The 24,661-nt window shown below is 36.7% G+C and overlaps 1 protein-coding gene across 1 annotated transcript in view; it reads left to right on the top strand.

Annotated features, from left to right (window-relative positions):
• The window catches only part of ROCK1 (Rho associated coiled-coil containing protein kinase 1), a 164,908-nt gene that overhangs the window by 88,257 nt on the left and 51,990 nt on the right, over positions 1–24,661 (top strand). The window contains exons 12-16 of the mRNA NM_005406.3: positions 3,318–3,406; positions 8,078–8,126; positions 15,363–15,498; positions 16,767–16,858; positions 16,960–17,206. Of these exons, the coding sequence (NP_005397.1) occupies positions 3,318–3,406; positions 8,078–8,126; positions 15,363–15,498; positions 16,767–16,858; positions 16,960–17,206 (613 nt within the window). The remainder of the gene's footprint in view (positions 1–3,317; positions 3,407–8,077; positions 8,127–15,362; positions 15,499–16,766; positions 16,859–16,959; positions 17,207–24,661) is intronic.

Here is a 24,661-nt window from a genome sequence, read left to right as displayed (position 1 = left end):
GGGTATGATAGTAAATTTATATATTGTTTGTGAAGCTGTGGTTAGCTGAACTTAGATTTTTATGGCACTTTCATCTCCCATCTCCTTTTCAGTCTGATTTTTTGCTCAAATATCAAATGGAATAATATATTTGGAGGCAGTTAGTAAACTAAATTGTTACACAGATTGACAGTGGTCATCTTTTTTAATCTTCGGAATCAGGAACTATGATATATCAATGTATCATTAAGGGTCTTGACAGGCAAACAGATTACATGTTCAAAATATTTAAACAGAGAGTTTTGTGTGTATGGCAAATATACGTAACATGAAATTTACCGTTTTAATCATTTTTAAGTGTGCAGTTCGGTGGCATTAAGCACCTTCACATAGTTGTGCAGCCATCACTGCCATCCATCTCTAGAACCTTTTCATCATCCCAAACTAAAAATCTATACCAATTAAACAGTAACTCCTCATTTCACCCTCCCCCCAGCTCCTGGTAACCACTGTTCTACTTTCTGTCTCAATGAATTTGCCTATTCCAGGTACCTCATATGAGGTGGAATCATACAATATTTATCCATATGTGACTGGCTTATTTCATGTAGCATAATGTCTTCAAGGTTCATCCATGTTGTAGTATATATTAAAATTTCCTTCGTGTTTAAGGCTGAGTAATATTCCATTGCATACATATATATACACACACACACACATATATACACACACACCATATTTTTGCATTTATTAAATCAAGAGTTTAATGAAGGGATGATTAACATGCTGTGAACATCAGTAGAGGGAAACAATAAAGGGTACTAAAGCACCCATGTATGAACAAGAGTGGGAAGCCATTGCCCTATACTGAAGGAGCAAAGAGAGAAAATCTTATCGTAGCTCAGAGAAAGCCTGACATCATAGAAGAGGAATATAAAACGTAGAGCATTGTGAAAACCACAGTAAAGCACAAAGGGTGTAGGGAAATGAATATTTCTTTCTTTTACCTTCAGATTTCTGCTGGTGTCTCCTGTGGGTTGAAACCAACCTTAAAATCATAGGGCTACAGAGTAATACAGGCAATGCAATCTGTAGATTTTAAGGCAAAGAAGAGCAGAGGATGAATTTTCAAGGTTAGAAGGGAATGGGGGAAATGGAGAATAACCAGTATAGTTAGCATCATCTTAATTTGTCCACTGAGAAGTATATTACTCCAGAAAATACATTTTAGTTGAGTTCTTTCTGTTGTTTATATAGCTCATGTTCTGACACAGAGGTAAAACAAAATCTTACTTGCTTACATTTCAGAAGGTCCTTTTGGGTTAACAGGAATTTTCTGAAAAATATCCAGAGTAATTATCTGTCCATTCCTAGAGCATTCTTTGAACTTTTTGTCTACTATAGCCTACATTTTTTTGTGGGGGGGCACAGAGACATTGCAAGCCTACATATTTTTAACAGAGGAGAGGAAGAGGTAGCAGCCATTTTTAAAAAGCTGATAATGATTCTTTTCTTTCTCCTTGATATATTGACTCTTAAATATAAGAGAACATGCGGTGAAAAGGGAAAATGAGAAAAAGGTGAAGGAACTATATGAGTACTCATTTGGTGTTAAGTTCATCTTTCTCTTAAATTTTAATCCCAGTAGAGCTGTTTGGCAAGTTATGTATTGCTAACAAGGGCTCAAAAATCTTTGACCTACGTAATAATAAGGAGTTGCTGTAAGTCAGCTCTCACTGTGTTACTTGACTGTAGAGTTAGAAGTGCCTTCGGCCTTCAAAAATATTCAAAGGATTCATGTTTTCTTTGGGCTGATTTTGTTCAGTGGTGATTACCATAAGTTTATCAGTGGTTGCTACCTTTATCTTTTGCTCTAATAATATCAGGGGGGATATACTAATTATTTCAACCTAGAACTAAGTACAAAATCAACTAATTTAATTTTCCTTGAAAACCTAGCAGAGATGCTATTGAACAACTTTGCAATTGCCAAATACAGTGGATGATTTTCAGCCCATATCTTATTTTTCTTCTTTGCTGTATTTGACACTGACTGCTTCCTACTTCTTTGGAACTTCAAACATTTCTAAATCTTCTATGTTCCTATTGTTTCCCTCTTTTTTACCTCCCATATTTTTGAATTTTATTTATTTTTCAATCCTCTTTTCAGGATCTTCCTCCTCTGCTCACTTTCAATTATTAACATTTCCCAAAGTTCTGATCTTGGCTCTCTGCTCTTTCTCTGTAGGTAATCTCATTCATGTCCAGCTTGCTTGTCTGAGCTCCAGTCCTGAATCTTTCTCTCTCTTCTGTATACTTCTCAGGCATATCAAACTAGGCCAGAGCTAAACTCACTGTTTTCCTGTCCCCATTCCCTCCCTAGCAGTGTGTTGGCTGTCTTTCATAATGGTATTATATCTATTCTAACTTCCAGTCGGTTTGGTCATACATTGTGCTTTCCAATTGATACCTTTATCCATTACTTCCTCTTCATTCCTGTAGCCTCTGCCTTTTATCAGATCCATATTCTCTTGTCTGAACTGCTTTGATAGCTTTTTAACTGGTTGCTCTTCTTAGAACTTCACTGCCCTCTAAGCTGTTCATTAACCTTATTATTGTAGTGATGTTTCTGAGGTGCCAGTATTATGTCATTTCTCATTTAAAATGCTTATGGGGTAAAGTCCCCAACTCCAGTTTGTGCATACAAGGATCATTACCTTCTTAGGCTTAATGTGAGTTGTTTTTCCTATTACATTCTGTGCTCTGCTATAGTACTTGATTTCTTTCCATTTCCCAAATATATCATATTTTCTTCTGCCTTTCTACTTTTGGGCTCATTGTTCATTCTAGCTAAAATGCCTTTCTTGTGCCACCTTCTTTGCTTTATCAGATTATCAGTTCTTCTTATCTTTTAGGCCTCAACTCAAGGATTATATATTCTTGGCAGAGTTAGAAGTGACCTTTTCTCTCCTTTGGAACACTCCGTAGATAATTTTTTTATTATTTACCACAGTCTATTGTAATATTTTGTGTATATGTCTTTGGGACATTGTAGCTTCTTTTTTCTCTTCCAATTTAACTTTGCCTCACTATGTAACTATTTGCTTCATGAGAACAGGAACCAAATCTTTTTAATTTTTGTATTTCTAATGGCCTAACGTTTAGTAAATGTTAAGAAAGTGCTTGTTAAATTAATAATAAAAAAATTGAGATAGAAAGAGGTAAGATTAAATTAAATTATTTTCTAAAAAGGTTTAAAATATTAACATAGACTTGATATTTTTAAATGTCTAAATATTCTTAGTAGAATGAGTTTTTGTTTTTGTTTTAAATTAAAGCAGGAAAGTTTGCAAAAAACAATCTATAAGCTGGAAGAACAGCTGCATAATGAAATGCAGTTAAAAGATGAAATGGAGCAGAAGTGCAGGTGAGAATATACTTTAAGTTTTTCATATTAAAAGTTTTATATACCAAATACTTACTTGAAAGCTTATACCCTGTAAACATCTGAAAGTAAATAGAAAATGAGGATGTAAAGATTACTACTGATAATACATTCATGATGTGTCTCGGCTAGAATTGAGAAGTTGTATTTATGTTGGCTTAGTTATAGATGTATTTTCCTCAGAATATTTAAAGTACATTTGTTCCTGGCAGTCTGTATTCTTTTTTTTTTTTTTAATTCATGAAAATAATATATTGTGTACTTTGTAATATGTTCCAACTGTGTTTTCATTACAGTCATCAGAAAGTAAAGCAGTATTCTTTTTTTTTTTTTTTAAGATGGAGTCTCGCTCTGTCGTCCAGGCTGGAGTGCAGTGGCACGATCTTGGCTCACTGCAAGCTCCGCCTCCCGGGTTCACGCCATTCTCCTGCCTCAGCCTCCCGAGTAGCTGGGCCTACAGGCGCCCGCCACCACACCTGGCTAATTTTTTTTTTTGTATTTTTAGTAGAGACGGGGTTTCACAGTGTTAGCCAGGATGGTCTCGATCTCCTGACCTCGTGATCTGCCCGCCTCGGCCTCCAAAAGTGCTGGGATTACAGGTGTGAGCCACCGCACCCGGCCAACAGTCTGTATTCTTAAAAAACTGTAATGCTAATTCATTTAGTTGCCTGACTTACTGCTTTTTTCTCTTTACATAATTAGCTAACTAAAAGGGCAAATTAGGCTGCACATGGTGGATCACGTGAGGGCAGGAGTTCAAGACCAGCCAGGCCAACATGGCGAAACCGCATCTCTACTGAAAATACAAAAAATTAGCTGGGCACGAAGGTGTGCCCCTGTAGTCCCTGCTGCTTGGGAGGCTGAGGCATGAGAATTGCTTGAACCCGGGAGGGAGAGGTTGCAGGAAGTCGAGATCACACCGTTGCACTCCAGCCTGGGCGACAGAGCAAGACTCTGTCTCAAAAAGAAAAATAAATAAAGGGGAAATTAGTTTACATTAAATCAGGTGCTTTTTGAAATGTAAAATGTTGAAGATTAAAATATACTAAATTTTTGATGTGGCCATTCTAATTTCCACTGTGGTTCACCAGAGCAGTAACTCAGAGTATCTTTTTCTGTGGGTCTAATTTCAGCATGTTATTGTCATTAGACTCACAGAAAAAATATCTTTGAGTTATGCTCACGTTTATTTTAAATTACCTAGCATAATACTGAATTACTTATCAATTATAAGCAATAATTTTTTATAATTATTTATGTTTTTAGTGAATAGTATTGAATAAATGAAATGCAAAGGTAACACGAAAAGTATTCAACAAATAAAATTGGGAACACTGGTAATTTTGTGACAGAGCAGGTGGGGGGTTTGGTACAAAACAGATAAAATTCTCACTTTTAACCATTCCTGATAGATTATGTGGTTAAGTGTATAATACAAATTTCTTTTAAAAAGGCATTTGAATATAAGCAAATAATTAACTGACCCCAGGATTTGGAAAGAATTTCTAAGTATAAAATATGTAAATAAGGGGAAGAACTGGGTAGATACTGTTATATAAATGTTGGGAAGTCTCTACATCCAAATTTTTTTTTTTTTTTTTTGAGACGAAATCTCACTCTTGTCCCCCAGGCTGGAGTATGATGGCGCGATCGCGGCTCACTGCAACCTCTGCCTCCCGGGTTCAAGTGATTCTCTTGCCTCAGTCCCCCGAGTAGCTGGGATTACAGGCTCCTGCCACCACGCCTGGCTAGTTTTGGTATTTTTAGTAGAGACGGGATTTCACCATGTTGACCAGGCTGGTCTCGAGCTCCTGACCTCAGGTGATCCACCCACCTCAGCCTCCCGAAGTGTTGGGATTGCAGGCGTGAGCCACCGTGCCTGGCCCAAAAAAATTTTTAAACAAAATTAAAAGACAAGTGACAAACTGGTAGTAATGGTGAGTAGGGATCAGTTTGAGGAAGTAATAAGAATGGCTGAATTGGCTAATAATCATATGAAAGTATCACCTCAAGGAAATAAAATTGAGATGAAACTTTAAAAAATTATATATTGAATTGGTAAATAGTTTTTAAAATAAAAACCTAGTGCTAGGGATTGTGGAGTGATATTTACTTGCATTTCTTTATTTTATTTATTTTTTTTTTGTTTTTATTTTTTTTGAGGCAGAGTCTCACTCTGTCACCCAGGCTGGAGTGCAGTGCCGTGATCTCAGCTCACTGCAAGCTCCACCTCCCGGGTTCATGGCATTCTCCTGCCTCAGCCTCCCGAGTAGCTGGGACTACAGGCGCCCGCCACCATGCCTGGCTAATTTTTTGAATTCTTTAGTAGAGACGGGGTTTCACTGTGTTAACCAGGATGGTCTCGATCTCCTGGCCTTTTGATCCGCCCACCTCGGCCTCCCAAAGTGCTGGGATTACAGGTGTGAGCCACCACGCCCGGCCACTTGCATTTCTTTAAATCAAATTCTCTGCATTCAAATCATTTTAGTTACATTCATTTATTCAATAAAAATTTCAGTTAAAGTGTCATATAATGTGCTTGTCAACAATATAGTACTGAATAAATCACGACATGGCCCCTCTCCACAAGGAGCTTGTAATTTAGCAAGAAAAACAAGTAAGTAATTATCAAGAAGTGTGGTAGGCCAGGTGCGGTGGCTCATGCCTGTAATCCCAGCACTTTGGGAGGCCGAGGCAGGCGGATCACAAGGTCAGGAGATCAAGACATCCTGGCTCACAAGGTGAAACCACATCTCTACTAAAAATACAAAAAATTAGCTGGGCGCGGTGGCGGGCGCCTGTAGTCCCAGCTACTCGGGAGGCTGAGGCAGGAGAATGGCATGAACCCGGGAGACGGAGCTTGCAGTGAGCTGAGATTGCGCTGCTGCACTCCAGCATGGGCAACAGAGCGAGATTTCATCTCAAAAAAAAAAAAAAAAAAAAAAAGAAGTGTGGTATGTGTTAATTGGGGAGAGAATAAAATTATACAGGAATATCAGGAATACATCAGGAGATGCCTGTACTGTTTTGTCAGAGATCAGAGAAAGCTAAACCAGAAGAGTCAATGGAAATTATTAGGAGAAGAGTGGAAGGAAGTGTTAGGGTCCAGGAGGTGAGTATCTGTGAAGGCCGTGAGGTAAGAGACCTTGACTGGCCAGTAAGATGTGAGGGAAGGAAAAGCCTGAGATGAGAATGGGGAGGATGGCAAGGTCTAGATTGGGGAGAATTTTTTTTTCTCTTTTTTTTTGCGGGGGGGCTAAGAAATTTGGAATTTAAGTGTAATGGAAAAACATCAAAAGTCATTAAACTAATAAGTAAAAAATATATATTAAATTTGCTGTTTTCAAAAGAAGTTCCTGCTTAATTAGCAGCACTTGGCACTTTATTCAGCTAAATGGGAGTGAGGGAGGATGAGTCAAGGATGATTCCTAGGTGTTGTCATTTACTTAGGGACTCTAGAAGAGAAGCAAATTGGTATTGGGGTGGGAGTGTGGAACAGAGGCAGTAAGTTCTATTTTGGAGATGCTGAATGAGGTATTTAATGAGACATCCACGTGAAAATGTTGCATATATAGGTTTTGAAGCTCAGAATTACATTTTGAACCAAAGAAAGCAAATGGTAATGAAGATAATACACTTTGAGTGTTGCCAAATGGTGCCTTTACTGATTTGATATATACTACCTTTCTCTTTGTTTACTTTATCCTGTATTAAAGGATAAATGGCTAATTTTTGAGTAGTGGCAAGTATTGCATGACGGAGTTTAGGGATCCTTAACCTGAAATCCATAGACCTCCCCCAAAGAGTCCATGGATGAAATTTGAAGTCCTTAAACGTGGATGACAAAAGGTGAACGTTTTCTCTAACTTATAACTTAATTTTAGCACTTGTTTCAATTCTGAGCATAGGCAGCAATTCAGTTATTAGCAGTAGTTGTTAATTTTTATTACCAATAGAAATTATAGATGTTTTCTTATTACAGTTGTTACAGCTATCTCTAAATATCATTTATGCTCATCAATACTTTGAAATCACTGCCACTAGATGTTGTGATTTAATATATTAATAAGGAAGCATATATACTACTGAATTACACATATTTTTTTAAAGTTTATTACTGTGTTTCAATATAATTGGCTTCTTTTTTTTTTTTGAGATGGAGTCTCACTGTATCACCCAGGCTGGAGTACAGTAGCATGATCTCGGCTCACTGCAACCTCCACCTCCCAGGTTCAAGTGATTCTCCTGCCTTGGCCTCCCAAATAGCTGGGATTACAGGCGCCCGCCACCATGCCTTGCTAATTTTTTTTTTTTTTAATTTTTAGTAGAGACGGGGTTTCACCATGTTGGCCAAGCTGGTCTCGAACTCCTGACCTCAGATGATCCACCCGCCTCAGCCTCCCAAAGTGCTGGGATTACAGGTGTGAGCCACTGTACCCAGCCTAATTGTCTCTTTTAATCATATATAATTTTTGTGCTTCAAAAAATATTTTGAAAAAAGGCCATAGGCTTCACTTGACTGCCAAAGAGATCCATGGCACCAAGAAAGGATACAAAACTCTAGTTAAGTGGAAAAGTAAGGAATGTTAGTGTTTAACACTGGGCAATAAGAAATACGTATATTTCTAATCTGTATTGCTTTTGTTTTTACAGAACCTCAAACATAAAACTAGACAAGATAATGAAAGAATTGGATGAAGAGGTACTTTTTGTTTTCTAATCAAGTTTCCTTTTTGAGATTTTTCCCTCTTTCAAATTGTTTCGTTTCCTGAGAAAATTGTATTTGAATTCTGTAGTTTGAAACACAAAACAGAGCAGAGAATTGTGATGAAAGCCTCACCTTGGAACTGCAGTTTCAAGTGGTACAGATTAGATTATAATTTAGTTTCCTTTGTACAATTGTTTTCTACAGCCGTATTAATTTTAGTACGTAAATTTCAGTTCAGTGGTTCTCGATGGTTGAAATGTGAGAAAGGAGCCAGAGAAGCAAGCGATCAGAAATTGAATCTCAAACTATGTCAGAAAGAGACAGACAAATAAGGAAAAGAGAGAAATACAGTTTAAAATATTTTTAAAAGATTAACACTGACATAATCTCATGTAATCAAATGGAAAATATATTGATTTTAGAATGTTCATCTTTTCCATGGTTACCTGTCAAAATTTTTTATTATCAGAGAAACAATAACAAGCATTCATAATTCAGATGTTTGTTTGCAAATATGTAATACATTTCCATTCCTCTTAGTCAACTTCTAAGTATATTTCTACTGTGTCTATGAGTCCCATGAAAAGAAATACACTCTCTGTAGTCTTCTCCTAATACATTACTTACTTTGTCCTTTTTTAGGTTTAATCTCTGATAGTTTTTATGCTGTGTTAATTTTTTCTTCCCTTATAGAATGGTATCTGTCAATGGCTTGCTTGCTTTCATGGGTAGCTTTGGATATCTATGAAGATTTAGAGAGCATTTACTAACTTGCCTTTGTACTTAACCTTAGCAGTATATATTTGACTCTGAGTGTTTAAGGAGTCCTTTTTTGCATATCTTCCACTTATATTTAACTTTTAAAACACAGATAAAATTCAGATGTGCTAGATTTAAGTTATTCATTTTTCCAAATTAGAAGTAGAGAGGGAAATTTGAGGTATGAAATTAAAATAGTCTCACTTCTAGAAAGATGGAGTAAGAGTACCTTTTCTGTATTCCTCCCAGTAAGTACAGCTAAAAACCCTAAACATTAAACATAAAACAAACATGAAAAGATTTTGAAAGGTGGAAAGAAGGCAGACCAACCTGGGTTACTTGCGTCCTGAGAAACAACACATGAATGAGTCTTCAGGGTTTTCTTTTTGCTGCATGTATCCTAGACGGGGTGCCGGAGAAGCCAGCAACCTCGAAATATCAACAGTTGCAGACAAAGCTCCAAAAAAAGCTAATTTCCTTAGCCTAAAGACCAAAAAAGGAGCAGGCTAGCAAGTCAGAAAACTTACACTATCACTGCTCTTTTCAGCCAAACACCACAGAAAAACGGTAGCCTCATTCTTTTTTTTTTTTTTTTTTTTTGAGACAGAGTCTTGCTCTTTTTCCCAGGCTGGAGTGCAGTGGCGCGATCTCTGCTCACTGCAAGCTCCGCCTCCCGGGTTCACGCTATTCTCCTGCCTCAGCCTCCCGAGTAGCTGGGACCACAGGCGCCCGCCACCATGCCTGGCTAATTTTTTATATATTTTTTTTAGTAGAGATGGGGTTTCACTGTATTAGCCAGGATTGTCTCAATCTCCTGACCTTGATCCACCCGCCTTGGCCTCCCAAAGTGCTGGGATTACAGGCCTGAGCCACCGCGCCCAGCCAACTGTAGCCCCATTCTTAACAGCAAAGGCTGAGTGGGAAGTCTAGACTTCCATCTCCACTATGCTGTAGCACACCCCAACTTCCAATTAGAATAGTGTCAGAGAAGGTCCAGTAAAGGAATTTTCATCTCCTGTGGGCAGTAACAAACCTTCTTTCTCTCCCCAGACAGCGTAGCAGTGACCATGTGGGGAATCTACACTTACACTTCCAGCTGGCAGTAAGGGGGTGCCCCTCCCACTGCCTTCTGGGTTGGTATCAAAGAGACATGGTAGGGAGTCAGAACTTTCCACTGAAAATAACAAGCTCCCCTCCACAATGCAGTGTCATCTGTGGGGGCCACATAAGGAGCAGCCATGGTGCACTCAATGGAGGCCTGGTAGAGTGCCAGAACTCCTGCTTCCACCCAGCAGTGATGAGGATCTGCTCCCCTCCCTACCTGAGGTGTCAGTAGAGGCTGAGTGGAAAACCTGGACTTCTGCAAACTCCACCTGGCAGAAAAGAGGCAGCACCCCCTTAGTTTCACCAGAACAGTGTCAGAGGAGACCTTCTAAAAGAGATTTTAAATAAGATCCAGAATGTTGTAAGATGATGTCCAGGTTTGAATAGCAAACTGCTCATCATAATCAGAACTAGGAAAATTTTAACTGGAATTAGAAACAATAATAAACTAATACCAATGCTGAGATGACACAGATGTTAGAGTTATCTGACAAGTATTTAAAGGAATCACCATAAATATGTTTCAGTGAGCAACTGTAAACATACAAACAAGCAAAAAAATAGTCTCAGAAAGACATAGACAATATAAAATAGAGCCAACCAAAAATTACAATAACTGAAATAAAAGTCTCAATAGATGGTGTCAGCAGCAGAGTGAACAATGCAGAGGAGCGAATCAGAGACCTTCAACAAAGAAAAATAGAAATTATGCAGTCTGAACAACAGAGAGAAAATGATCAGAAAAAAAGTGACAGAGCCTCTGGGACCTGTAGAACTATAACAATAAAATTCTAACATTTGTGTCACTCGAATTACTAAAGGAGAGGAGAAAGGGCGTGGGAAGAAATGACGACAGAAAATTCAACAAATTTGACAAAAGACCTGAACTGACAAAAGACATGAACTACCAAGAAGCTTAGCAAACCACAAAAAGTGTAAACCCAAAGATATCCACACCAAGACACAATAGTCAGATTTCTGAAAATTAATGACAAAAAAGAAATCTTAAATACAGGACACACCTTACCTAGAAAGGAAACAACAGTGTAAGTGACAGCTGATTTCTTATCAGAAACCATGGAGGCCAGGAGGAAGTGGCATGACTTTTTCAGGTGCTAAAAAAACAAAAAAACAAACCTATCAACCTAGAATTCTGTGTTCAATTAAAACATCCTTCTCAAATGAAAAAGAAAATGACAACATTCTCAGATGAGGAAAAACTAAGATAATGTGTCACCAGCACACCTTCCCTAAAGGAATTGCAAAAGAAAATTCTCTAAACAGAAAGGAAATGATAAAAGAAGGAATCTTGGCCAGGTAGGGTGGTTCACACCTGTAATCCCAACACTTTGGGAGGCTGAGGCGAGCAGATCACTTGATGCCAGAAGTTTAAGACCAGCCTGGCCAACATGGCAAAACCCCATCTTTACTAAAAATACAAAAAAAATTAGCCAAGTGTGGTAGCGTGTACTTGTAATCCTAGCTACTCAGGAGGCTGAGGCTGAGGCTAGAGAACTGCTTGAACCTGGGAGGTGGAGGTTGGAGTGAGCCAAGCGCACCACTGCACTCCAGCCTGGGTGACACAGCAAGACTCTGTCTCCAAAAGAAAAAGGAGGAATTTTGAATTACCAGGAATAAAGAAACAGTAAAAGATGGGTAAATACATTTTTTTCTCCTCTTTATTTTTTATAGTAGGCAGTTGAAGCAGAAATTATATTGTCTAATATGATTCTCTGTGTATGAGAAAAAATATTTTAGACATTATAAACAGAGAGTAATGGGTCATAAAGAAAGGTAAAGTTTTTAGGTCAAGTGTGGTGGCTCATGTCTGTAATCCCAGCACTTTGGGAGGCCAAGGCCAGCGGATTGCTTGAGCCCAGGAGTTCAAGACCAGCCTGAGCAACAGGGTGAAACCCTGTCTCTACAAAAAATACAAAAATTAGCCAGGTGTGGTAGTGCACGCCTGTAGTCCCAGCTACTAGGGAGGCAGAGGTGGGAGGATCGCTTGAGTCCAGGAAGTTGAGGCTGCAGTGAGCCATAAGCATACCACTGTACTCCAGCCTGGGTGACAGAGTGAGACCCTTTCTCAAAAATAAATAAGATAAAAATTAAAAGAAGAAAGGGAAGATGTTTATACTTTACTCAAACTGGTAAGATGCCAATACCAGTGGAGTGTACTATATATTAAGCTATGCATATACAATGTAATATCTAGGGCAGCCACTGAAAAGGCCTTACAAGGAGATACATTCAAAAACACCATAGTTAAATCAAAAGGAATGCTAAAATAATGTTCAGGTAACCCACAGAAAGACAGGAAAGAAAATGTAGAAATAACAGAGATCAAACAAAAAAACAAAAACGGCAGACTTAACCCTAACATACTACCAATAATGACATTAAATGGAAATTAAATGGAATACCAATCAAAAGAGGTGGTAGGGGTAGATTTTTTTAAATCCCCCATTTATATATCTGTCAGAAACTCTTCAAATATAACAATATAGGCAAGTTGAACATCGGAAGATGTGAAGAGATAACATAACAAATATTAAAAAGAAAGCAGCATATTGGCAATGTTAATACCAATTAAAGTAGACTTCAGAGCAAAGAAAATTACCATGAACATAGAGGAATATTACATAATGATAAGAGTCAATCCACCAAAAATAAATAAAAATCCTAACTGTACACCAAACAACAGAGCTACAAAGTATGTGAAGCAAAAGTTGATAAGACTGGAAGGTTAAATAGACCAATCCATAATTATTGTTGGAGACTTCAGCACCCGTAAGAATCACCAAACATAGGAGAACTCAACTACACTGTCAGCTGTCAGAATTTGTTCAACATTTACAGAACCCTCTGCTTAACAGCACAATATGCCTTCTTTTCAAGTGCTTAAGGAACACACACCAAGGTAGACCACATCCCAAGCTATAAAACAAACACATTTGAAAGCACTGAAATCATACAGTTTCCTGACCAAAATGTACAGATGAGAATAACAGAAAAATCTGCAAACACATGGAAAGCAAACAATAAACTTCTAAATAACCCAGAGGTCAAAGAAGAAGTCTCAGTGAAAAAAATACATTGGAATGTTAATTATGTCTCATAAAACTGTTATGGCTCTTTATCTTTACAAAATATTTGAACAATGAAGTGAAAATACATCATCAAAATTTGTGAGATGCTGTTAACATGGTGATGAAGGTTAATTTATAGCACTAAATGCTTACCTTAGAAAAGAGGAAAAGTCTAAAATCAATAATTTAAACTCCTACTTCTGGAAACTAGAATAAGAAGAGTGAAATAAACCCAAAACAAGCAAAAGGAAGGACAAGTAACGATAAGAGCAGAGAACAAGGCAGTTAAAAGCAGAAAAACAATAGAGAAAATCAGTGAAACAAAAAGCTGTGTGAAAAGATCAACAAAATTAACAAACCTCTAGCAAGACTGATAAAGGAAAAAGAGAGGACACAAATTACCAGTATGAGGAATGAAATAGGGCATATACTATAGACCATATAGGTATCAAAAGAATCATAAGGAAATCCTATGAACAGTTCTAAACACAATTAAGACATGTAGATGAAAGGGACTAACTTCTCAAAAATCAAACTATCACAACTCATACAGTGTGAAATAGGTAATTTCAGTAGCCCTATATAAGTGTTAAGGAAAGCGAATCCATACTTTTTAAACTTTTTAGATATATGGATGAAAATAAACCTATGAAAAGAGGTTCACATAATTAGTCATTTGGGAAGTGCAAATTAAAACTATCATGAAATATTACTCCATAACCATGAAAAAAAGTAAGTTTTAAAATTATGTCAATAGCAAACTGGCAAGGATATGGAGAAACTAGATCACTTGGACATTGCAGATGGGGATATAAAATGGTACAGACATTCTGGAAAACCAATTGGCTGTGTTCCTGAAAAACTAAACATGTGCCTACTATGTGACCTAGCAATTGTATTCTTGGGCATGTATTCCAGAAAAATGAAAATGTATATTCTCACAAAAACCTGTATACTAATGTTTATAACAGCTCTATTTGTAATAGCCAAAAACTGAAAACAATCAAAATGTCCTACAGTAGGTGAATGGTTGAACAAACTTCGGTACATTTGTACCATGGAATACTCAGCCACAAGAAGGAATAAACTGTAGATACATACAATACAGAGATGGATTTTAAGGTCTTTATGTTGAGTTAAAAAAAAAAAAAACCTGTCTTGGCCAGGCGCGGTGACTCACGCCTGTAATCCCAGCACTTTGGGAGGCTGAGGCGGGCGGATCACGAGGTCAGGAAATCGAGACCATCCTGGCCAACATGGTGAAACCCCATCTCTATTAAAAATACAAAAAAAAAAAAAAAAAAAAGCCTGTCTCAAAAAGTCATATATTGCATGGTTCCATTTATATAACATTCTCAAAAAGACAAAATTATAGAAATGGAGAACCATTAGTTGCCAGGAGTATGGGTGGTGGGAGGACGGGGATGGGTGTGGCTATAACTAGTGACTGGAAAGAAATTGTTGTGATGACCAGTTCTGTATCTTCGTTGTGGTGGTGCTTACATGAACCTACATATGTGATAAAATGAGAGAATCATACACTCCTTATACCAGTGAGAATTTTCTGATTTTGTTATTGTACTATTGTTATATATAATGTCTCTACTGGGGGAAGCTGAGTGGAAGGGCACTTGGGACCTCTCTGTACTATCTTTGCAACTTTCTTTGAATGTATAATTATCTAAAAATTAACTAAAAGTTAGAATGATAAACTCTTAGAATCAGAAAGACCTTGAATGATTTATGTCCAATTTCTGCTTAAAGATGAGAAAGCCCAGAAACACTGTAAAACAGGTTTCCTAATGTGGAGTCTTAAAAAGTGAAGCATCAAAAACAAGATTTACTGATAGTGGTAACTCAGAAAGGTACATTTTTAAGTTGTGAAAATTTGGGTATTTTAGGCTGGGCACAGTAGCTCATGCCTGTTATCCCAGTACTTTGGGAGGCTGAGGCAGGCGGATCACCTGAGGTCAAGAGTTCAAAACCAGCCTGGCCAACATGGCAAAAGCCGTCTCTACCAAAAATAGAAAAATTAGCTGGACGCAGTGGTGCGTCCCTGTAGTCCCAGCTACAGAAGACAGATTCCCACTGTCTTCTTAAAAGGCAAGCTACTTAGAAAGTTGTATTAGGAGATACTATTTGCGTTTGAAACAGAACATTCATCTTAAGTGTTTGTCTTTTTTTTTTTCTTGTTTTTTGTTTTTAAGAACAAAATACTCACTTGAATGAATGACCAGAGTATTAATCACAGTGGTAACTTTTATCATTATAATTCCAGGGAAATCAAAGAAGAAATCTAGAATCTACAGTGTCTCAGATTGAGAAGGAGAAAATGTTGCTACAGCATAGAATTAATGAGTACCAAAGAAAAGCTGAACAGGAAAATGAGAAGAGAAGAAATGTAGAAAATGAAGGTAAATTGTCACTACTTTTGAAAAATGATAGAATTTCTAACACTGTCATGAGGTTGTCTTTAATTTAGTGTCCATGATACATACATGAAGCTACAATCCTAAGACACTTTATAAGCTAAATAACCCAGGTCTCAGGTTAAATTTATAACATATTAAATAGTAATTAAATTAAATATTAAATTACATATTAAAGTAAATAGTAAGTAGCATTTAACTAGAGTAGTGATTGTCATCATGGTGTGCATACTGGAATCTCCTGGGAAGCTTTAAAGAGTACTGATGCCTAAATCCCAGCGATTCTAATTTAATTGGTCTAGATATGTGGCCTGAGTATCATTATTCTTTACAAGCCCCCTAGGTACTTCTAACAAGCAGCTGCGTCTAAGAACTTCTAAACCAGAATTTCTTGTGTTTTAATGCTTGTGTTACAAATATATTTAAAATACCTTTCTACTCCCATTGATGCAGTAATTTCACTTCCATAAGTTATTTCACGTACATACTCCTACTGCAAACTGATATATACACAAGGCTATTCATTGTAGCATTGTTTAAAATGACAAAAAAAATGCAGTCAATGCTGTATATGAAACATAATGTAATACATATATGAAACATAAAGGTAATGAATGCTGTAATAAATTTTAGTACATCTATATGGTAGAATACTATGTGGCTTATAAAAAATAATAAATCATCTCCTTAAATACGGTTATAAAACAGTCTCTAAGACAGATCTTTAAGTGACAGAAACGGATTGCTTGTGTTTAAAACAAGAGTACTTGTCTATATATGCTTAAATTAAATATATATTAGGGAGGAGAGCCAGTTAAGGGAGACTCAGAAGGGGCAAAAATGACTAAATGGAGAAAGGAGGACTTATTCTATACTATCTACCATTTGGTACCTTTTAAATTTTGTATTTTTATTAAGATATTGAATTATCAAGCAATTGAACTCTTGAAAAATAAATAATATTAAAACTAGCTTTATAAGTATACTATCAGTGATCTTATAAAGGGAATAAAGGAGTTTGAGATTTACAACAGTAAGAAGAAATCTTTTTGCACTCTGTATTAGAAGATAATGTTCTACTTTTTAATGAATTTAAAATGCAGGTACTTCCAAATTGGAATTTGGCTTTGGGAGTGGACCTAATGTAGCTGACTATTATGGCCTAAGACTAAATGTCTTTTTTTAAAAAAGGATTTATATGTTTCCCCTATGAAAATGTTGTAATTTCTATATATTATTCTTTCATTTTCTAGTTTCTACATTAAAGGATCAGTTGGAAGACTTAAAGAAAGTCAGTCAGAATTCACAGCTTGCTAATGAGAAGCTGTCCCAGTTACAAAAGCAGGTAAGTGTTTCAAATGAGGTTCCTTTTTAAAAAAATTGTAGATAATTAAATTATATCGTACTTTGGTCAGAAACCTATTTTTTTGCTTTCTTTTTAAATAGCTAGAAGAAGCCAATGACTTACTTAGGACAGAATCGGACACAGCTGTAAGATTGAGGAAGAGTCACACAGAGATGAGCAAGTCAATTAGTCAGTTAGAGTCCCTGAACAGAGAGTTGCAAGAGAGAAATCGAATTTTAGAGAATTCTAAGTCACAAACAGACAAAGATTATTACCAGCTGCAAGCTATATTAGAAGCTGAACGAAGAGACAGAGGTCATGATTCTGAGATGATTGGAGACCTTCAAGGTAATATTTTTTCTTATTGTGGTAAAATATACGTAACATGAAATTTATTATAACATTTTAACCATTTTTATATATACAGTTCAGTGGGATTAAATGCAGTTCACAATGTATGCAACCATCATCATATAAGTGGAATCATACAGTGTTTGTCCTTTTGCGTCTGGCTTTTTTCACTTAGCACAATGTCTTCAAGGTTTATCCATGTTGTGTGTGTCAGATTTTCCTTCCTTTTTAGGGCTCAGTAATATTCCATGGTATGTGTATACCACATTTTGTTCATCCACTCATCTATCAATGGAAGGAATATTTTATAATTTTTATTTTTAATTGTTAAAAATATATAACATAAAATTTACCATCTTGACCATTTTTAAGTCTAAGTTAATATATTTATGATCATATTACCCTCATAAAGAAAATGACTTTGGTGAAACCAGAAATGGTTGCATTCTTTTTTATTGTTTACGTTTTTTTGAGATAGGAACTTGCTCTGTTGCACAGGCTGGAGTGCAGCGGCATGATCACAGCTCACTGCAGCCTTGAACTCCTGAGGTCAAGCAATTCTCCCACCTCAACCTCCTGAGTAGCTGGGACTACAGGTGCATGCCACCATGCCCAGCTAATTTTTGCATTTTTTGTAGAGACGGGGTTTCACCATTTTGCCCAGGCTGGTCTCAAACTCCTGAGCTCAAGCGATCCGCCCACCTCGACCTCCCAAAGTGCTGGCATTATGGGTGTGAGACACCACACCAGGCCAGCATTCTTTCTCTTTTAGAATAATGCCCACATTTGTATCACATTGTAATTTCTTCACCCTCACAGGTACTCCTGCAGGGTATGTAATGTGGATATTTTTCAGTTTTACAGACAAATTAACCAAAAACTTCATTTAAAAACTTGCCTAATTCATAAAGGTTTTACTCAAAGTGAGACTAATCCAGGCAAAGAGGATTATCACTATTAAAACCTAGGAATTCCTCATGCATCGTTGGTAGTAATAGAAAGTCAGTTGCAGAAATAAAATCCCATTACACATTAAAAGTTAGATACTTGGGAATGTTTGAACTGGAGATATTGACAGTCTTTGTGAATCTAAGAGGCAGAAGATTGAGTATAACTAAGTGAATAAATGAACAGTTTTTAAATAGTAATAAAATTCAGTTTGTTTTCAAAAAGATTCCTGGCTTTACCTACTCACATATTTTTCTATTTTCTATTCCTGTTAGCAGCAGCATCCATACTACCTAATCAAAACAAATATGCATAGAAGTTGCCAGATGTCTCAGGAAAAAATTGGAGGGAGGAGTTCTTTTTAACCTTAGTTAGAGATGGGAACATAGTTTCAGGTCCCTTGGGGCTTGATGATTAGCTATAATTCAGTGGAGAGAGGTCAGGGTCAGTTTTTGTGACTAAGGAAACAGAAAATACAATCTCCTGTTGGTTCTTAGCTGAGGAGTGTTGTGCAATCATATTTCTCAGGGACCAGGCTTAAAATAGATCTGATTATAACTAAGAAAGTAACCACTTTATATGTAATAGGAAAGTCACAGACTTCCTTAAATTGTTTTCCTAGGCCTTTTTATACAGCTTATTAGCTGTTTGAAAGTCTCTTCATCTCCCTTCTTTATCTGTAAACCAAGGAGATAAGAATAGGTTACCTCTATAAATCCTTCCAATTCTAAAATTCTTATAAGTTTGTGATCTGTGTTTGACTGAGCTTTAAGCTCCTTGCTTCAGAGGCAGAGATCATCCATGTACTATCAACAGTGGTTTTTAACTGAATCTATTTTTTAGATATCAGTAAAAGTTAAGGAAAATTTATAGCATGATTTATTGTTAGTTTATTCTTTTTCAGAGTTTAATTTGGAACTTAAACGTGAATAAAAGCTCACATACACTAAAATAATGCACACAACTTATGTGAGTTTCAACATACATATAAAAGTGCATTGTGGGTTTTTAAAAAAATCACAATGCTTATATTAGTCTTTTCTGGTCTTTAAGAACTTTCAGGTCTCTCAAGTATAAATTTAGTTTGGGATGGTGGGCTTCTGGCAGAGTCTTGATTGTTATTCATTAATTGAATGTCCTCCATATATGATCTCTGTTGCATAGTCTTTTTTATTTTTTACTTTTTATAACCTTTTAAAGTATAAAAACCATTCTTAGCTTGACATCTGTACAGAAACAGGCTGCAGCCCTGATGTTTGCCAGTACCTGGACTAGTGCAACAGTAAGGCTGCAATTGATTATAGGGAAAGTTTCCAAAAGTTCAGGCTATAGAGGCTTAATGAAAGTGATCAAAATGTTATGGAGGATTGAAATTTTAACTGAATTGATAAGCTTTCATCTAGTAAGTTTATCTCTGATTCTTCAGATTGAAAGGCAAAAATCAATTTTTTTAAATTAACCATTTTTAAAAGTCTTTTTCTGTTTTTTTTAATTGTTTGCTTGGAACCAGAAGTGCTTCAGATTTTGGATTTTGGGTGGTTTGTGAGAATATTTGCATTATGTATACTTACCAGTTGAGTATCCCAAATCTGAAATCCTTGAATGTCATGTCAGTGCTCAAAAAGTTTCAGAATTTGGAGCATTTTGGATTTTTGGATTTTCCAATTAAGGATGCCTAACCTGTACTATAGTGACCTCTTGTGTACTCATTAAGCTTCAAAAACCTTCATTTGGTAGCCAGTCGTGTTTCATTTTGTACCTCCACCTCCCCTTCCCAATCCTCTGACACTGAATTATTTTGAAGCTCATATCAGGCACCACATTGTCCTTTTGTAAATACATCCTAATTTGTAAATATTTCATTATCTTAAAGATAGGGACTCTTTTTTAAAAAGACAAACATAACTACAATGCCATTATCAAAGGTAGAAAATAGGTGACAGTTATATAATATTATAAAATATCTAATTAGTGCTTAAGTTCCTCTAGTAGTCTCATAATTTGTTCTTATTGCATTTATTTTGCTTGAATTTGGATCCAAAGTTTGGACATTGCATTTCATTAATACGTCCCTTAAGTTTATTTTAATCTGTATTTTCCTCCTCCCTTTTGTGTTCTTTGTAATCTCTTTTTGCTGTTGTTTTCGGTTAAAGAAACCATGTTTTTTTCGTCCTGTGAGTGGCTCCTGTTCAGAATTTTACTGATTTCATCTGCTGGTATCATTTAGCATGTTGCTCTGTCCGCCGTAGTACTTTAAACTAGACGTTAGATCTAGAGATGTGATCTACTTCGGTAGGACTTTGTCAAGAATACTTGTAAGTAGTATTTAGGTACCAGGAGACACATAAACATAAAATCTGGGCTGGGTGCAGTGGCTCACACCTGTAAAACCAACACTTTGGGAGGCTGAGGTGGGTGGATCTCTTGAGCCCAGGAGTTTGAGGCCAGCCTGAACAACATGACGAAACCTCATCTCTACAAAAAATAAAAAATTAGCGAGGTATGGTGGCATGCACCTGTAGTCCTAGCTACTTAGGAGGCTCAGGTGGAGGATTGCTTGAGCCCAGGAGATGGAGGTTGCAGTGAGCTGAAATCGTGCCACTGTACTTCAGCCTGGGCAACAGAACAAGACCCTGTCTCAAAAACAACAACAAACAAACGAATGAAAAAACATAAAGTCTGGCTGTATCTTTTTGTGGTGTTAGTAGCCATTGATGATCATTGCCTAGGTCCTTTGTTTCTTTAGGAATTTGCAGTGGTGATCATCTATTTTTATCCATCTTCCTTCATTTGTTAATTGGAATACTACTCTAGAGATGAACATTTCCTCATCAATTATATAGTAGTTACTTTGAGGTACAGCTTATAAAAGAAAGTCAGGTTAAATACTTAATTCTTTGTCAGTTTTTGGAACAGTGAGTTATTTCCCAGGCATCCTCCAAAGATGATTAGTGAATTTTTAAAATATATTTGTGAACTCATGAATTTTAATATATTTAATATATGTTAGCCCTTTGCATTATTCTTAATGATGCTCACATGAAGTTTAGTAGGAATTCTTTAAGTTTAGACACTACCCTAGTAGTTTTAGATCACATCCTTGCTTTTTGATATGCATAGATTTTCCAGAATTATTTTTTGTCCCAGACCTGAAATCACCCATTTGCCTAGGAACTCCGGTTCCTTTTGTAGCATATGACATTCGGGGTCTATAACCTGAATTCTATGGGTGCTCACTACTGTTGGGTTGGTCAATGTTTGTAGGTGATTTTAATGGACAGAGGTAGGAAACAATTTTTTTTGTAATTAATAATTTCTTATTGTGATCAGGAACTATTAAAAGATTTCTACTTTGGGATTTCTACTTTTAATGATTTTTTTTCTGGCTTAGTTTATAAATGATTTTTGCATTTCACTGTTACATGGGCATTTGAAAATTGTCGATTTTTGTATGAAACATCTTTTTGGGTGAAAAGTTGATCCGTTTTCTAATGTAATCCATCAGTTTTCTAAGATTGCATTTATTCTTTGTCCCTTTGTTCTGTCAAATTTTAAAATGTGTTTTAAAAGTTTTCACTATCATTGTGGGTTTTTTCTCATAGCCTCCCATGTATTTCTTTTCTTTTTTTTTTTTTGAGACGGAGCCTCACTCTGTCACCCAGGCTACAGTGCAGTGGCATGATCTCGGCTCATTGCAACCTCTGCCTCCCAGGTTCAAGTGGTTCTCCTGCCTCAGCCTCCCAAGTAGCTGGGACTACAGGCATGCGCCACCATGCCCAGCTAATTTTTGTATTTTTAGTAGAGACAGGGTTTCACCATGTTGGCCAGGATGTCTTGATCTCTTGACCTCGTGATCTGCCTGCCTCAGCCTCCCAAAGTGCTGGGATTACAGGCGTGAGCCACCATGCCTGGCAGCCTCCCTTGTATTTCTAACAGCTTTTGCTGTCTATATTTTTTAATTAAGGTGAAATTCTTGTAACAAAAAGCTAACCATTTAAAAATATACAATTCAACAGCATTTACTACATTCAAAATGTTCACAAATACCTCCTCTATGTGGTTCCAAAACATTTCATTTTGAAACTACAAAATAGGATCCATTAAGCTGCCCCTCCCTATTCTCCGCTCCACTATCTCCTGGCAACCACCAATTTCCTTTCTGTCTCTGAATTTACCCGTTCTGGATATTTCGTATAAATGGCATCATAGAATGTGTGACCTTTTGTGTCAGGCTTTTTTCACTTAGCATAATGTTTTACAGGTTCATCTATATTGTAGCATGTGTCAGTAGTTCATTCATTTGTGGCTGAGTAATATTCTGTTATATGTATTTACCACATTTTGCTTAGCCATTCATCTGTTGATGATATACATATAACAGAATATTACTGTGGATTGATTCCACCTTTTGGCTATTGTAAATAGCACTCCTTCAACATTTGTGTACAAGTATTTGTTGGAGTACCTGTTTTTAATTCTTTAGGGGTGTATATTTAGGAGTGGAATTTCTGAGTCATCTTGTAATTCTATGTGTAACTTTGGAGGAATTTCCAAACTGTTTTCTGCAATGGCTGCACCATTTTACATTCCTGTCAGCAATGTACAGGATTCCAGTTTCTCCATATCCCTGCCAACACTTGGTATTTTCCTTTTTTTCAGTTAGTTACTCTAGTGGGTATGTGGTGGTTGTCCCATTGCTGTTTGTTTTGATTTTCATTGTCCCTAATGACTAATGATATTGAGCATCTAATATCCAGTTGTCCCAGCAACATTTGTTTGAAGAGACTATTCTTTCCTGTGTAAATGGTCTTGGCATCTTTGTTGAAAATCGATTGGCAGCCAGGTGCAGTAGCTCACACCTGTAATCCCAGCACTTTGGGAGGCTGCGCTGGGCAGATCGCTTAAGCTCAGGAGTTTGAGTCCAGCCTGGGCAACGTGGCAAAACCATGTCTCTACTAAAAATACACAAATTAGCCAGGCATGATGGCACGTGCCTGTAGTCCCAGCTACTTGGGGGACTGAGGCCGGAGGATCACTTGAGCCTGGGAGGCAGCGGTTGCAGTGAGCCAAGATTGCACCATTGCACTCCAGCATGGGCGAACACAGTGAGACCCTGTCTCCAAAAAAAAAAAAGAAAATCAATTGACTATAGATATCATGCATCTATGATATTCTGGATTCTCAACCCTATTCCATTGGTCTGTGTGTTTGTCCTTATGCCAGCATGTACCACACTGTTTTGTTTTGTTCACTGTAGCTTTGTAGCAAGTTTTGAAATCAGGAAGTTTGAACCCTCCAAGTTTGTTGTTCTTCAGTATGTTTTACGTATTCAGGGTTCTTTGCAATTCTATGTGAATTTGAGGATTGGCTTTTCTATTTCTGCAAACAAGACCTTTAGAATTTTGATAGCAATTTCTTTGAATCTGTAGATTACTTTGTGTAGTATTGCCATCTTAACAATATTAAATCTTCCAGCCAGGCGCCAGTGGCTCAAGCCTGTAATCTCAGCATTTTGGGAAGCCAAGGTAGGCAGATCACTTGAGCACAGGAGTTTGAGACCCCCCCGAGCAACATGGCGAAGCCTGTCTCTACAAAAAATAAAAAATCAGCCAGGTGTGGTGGTGCACGCCTGTTGTCCCAGTGCTCCAGCCTGGCTGACAGAGGCAGACCTTGTCTCAAAAAAAACCAAAACTAATATTAAGTCTTCCAATCCATGAACAAGGATATATTTTCATTTATTTAGATCTTTTAAAATGTGTTTCAGCAGTGTTTTTGTTCATTTGTGTGTTTGTTTTTAGTTTTCTATATACAAATTTCTTCCTGGGTATTTTATTCTTTTTGATGCTCTTAAAGGGAATTTTCTCAATTTTCTTTTTGGATTGTTCATTGAGTATGATGTTAGCTGTGGGTATTTCATGAATACCTTGCTTTACATATTTTTAATGCAGTGTTTTTTGGTGTGTAAGATTTTGACTCCTGTATCTTCTGGGTGGATTAAAATTTGTATTATAAATGATATTAAATGTATCTGACTCTGAGGCTTTTTCTTAATGTGCATTTTCTTCTTATATCTTGCCCATTAATTTATTTTTAATTTTTGTATGTTCTTGGTGGGACTCAATGCCTTTTTGTAGATTATGCCTTTTTGTAAATTTTATATTTTATTTTGGCATTTTAACATATTTAAATTAGTTTTTTGCTAAAACAATGATATTTCAGCAAATGGTATTTGTCATGATGAATGAACTTTTTAATGTATTGTGGAATTTGGTTTGCTAGCATCTTGTTGAGGGTTTTTGCATGTGTGCTCCTCGTGAATATTGGCTTATAGCTTTTTTGTTTATTTGTCTTTTAAAATGTGTCTTCATCTGGTTTTGGTATCAAGGTAATACTGGCCTTGTAGAATGAGTTTGGAAACATTCTCTCCTCCTCTATTCTTTGAAATAGTTTGAGTAGGATTGTTATTTGTTCATCTTTAAATGTTTGGTAAGGGCCGGATGCGGT

The sequence above is a fragment of the Homo sapiens genome, chromosome 18, assembly GCF_000001405.40.
Source record: "Homo sapiens chromosome 18, GRCh38.p14 Primary Assembly".
In the NCBI taxonomy this organism is placed as follows: Eukaryota; Metazoa; Chordata; class Mammalia; order Primates; family Hominidae; genus Homo; species Homo sapiens.
Note: the sequence above shows the minus strand (reverse complement) of the source record. Positions and strands in the feature narration are given on the sequence as shown.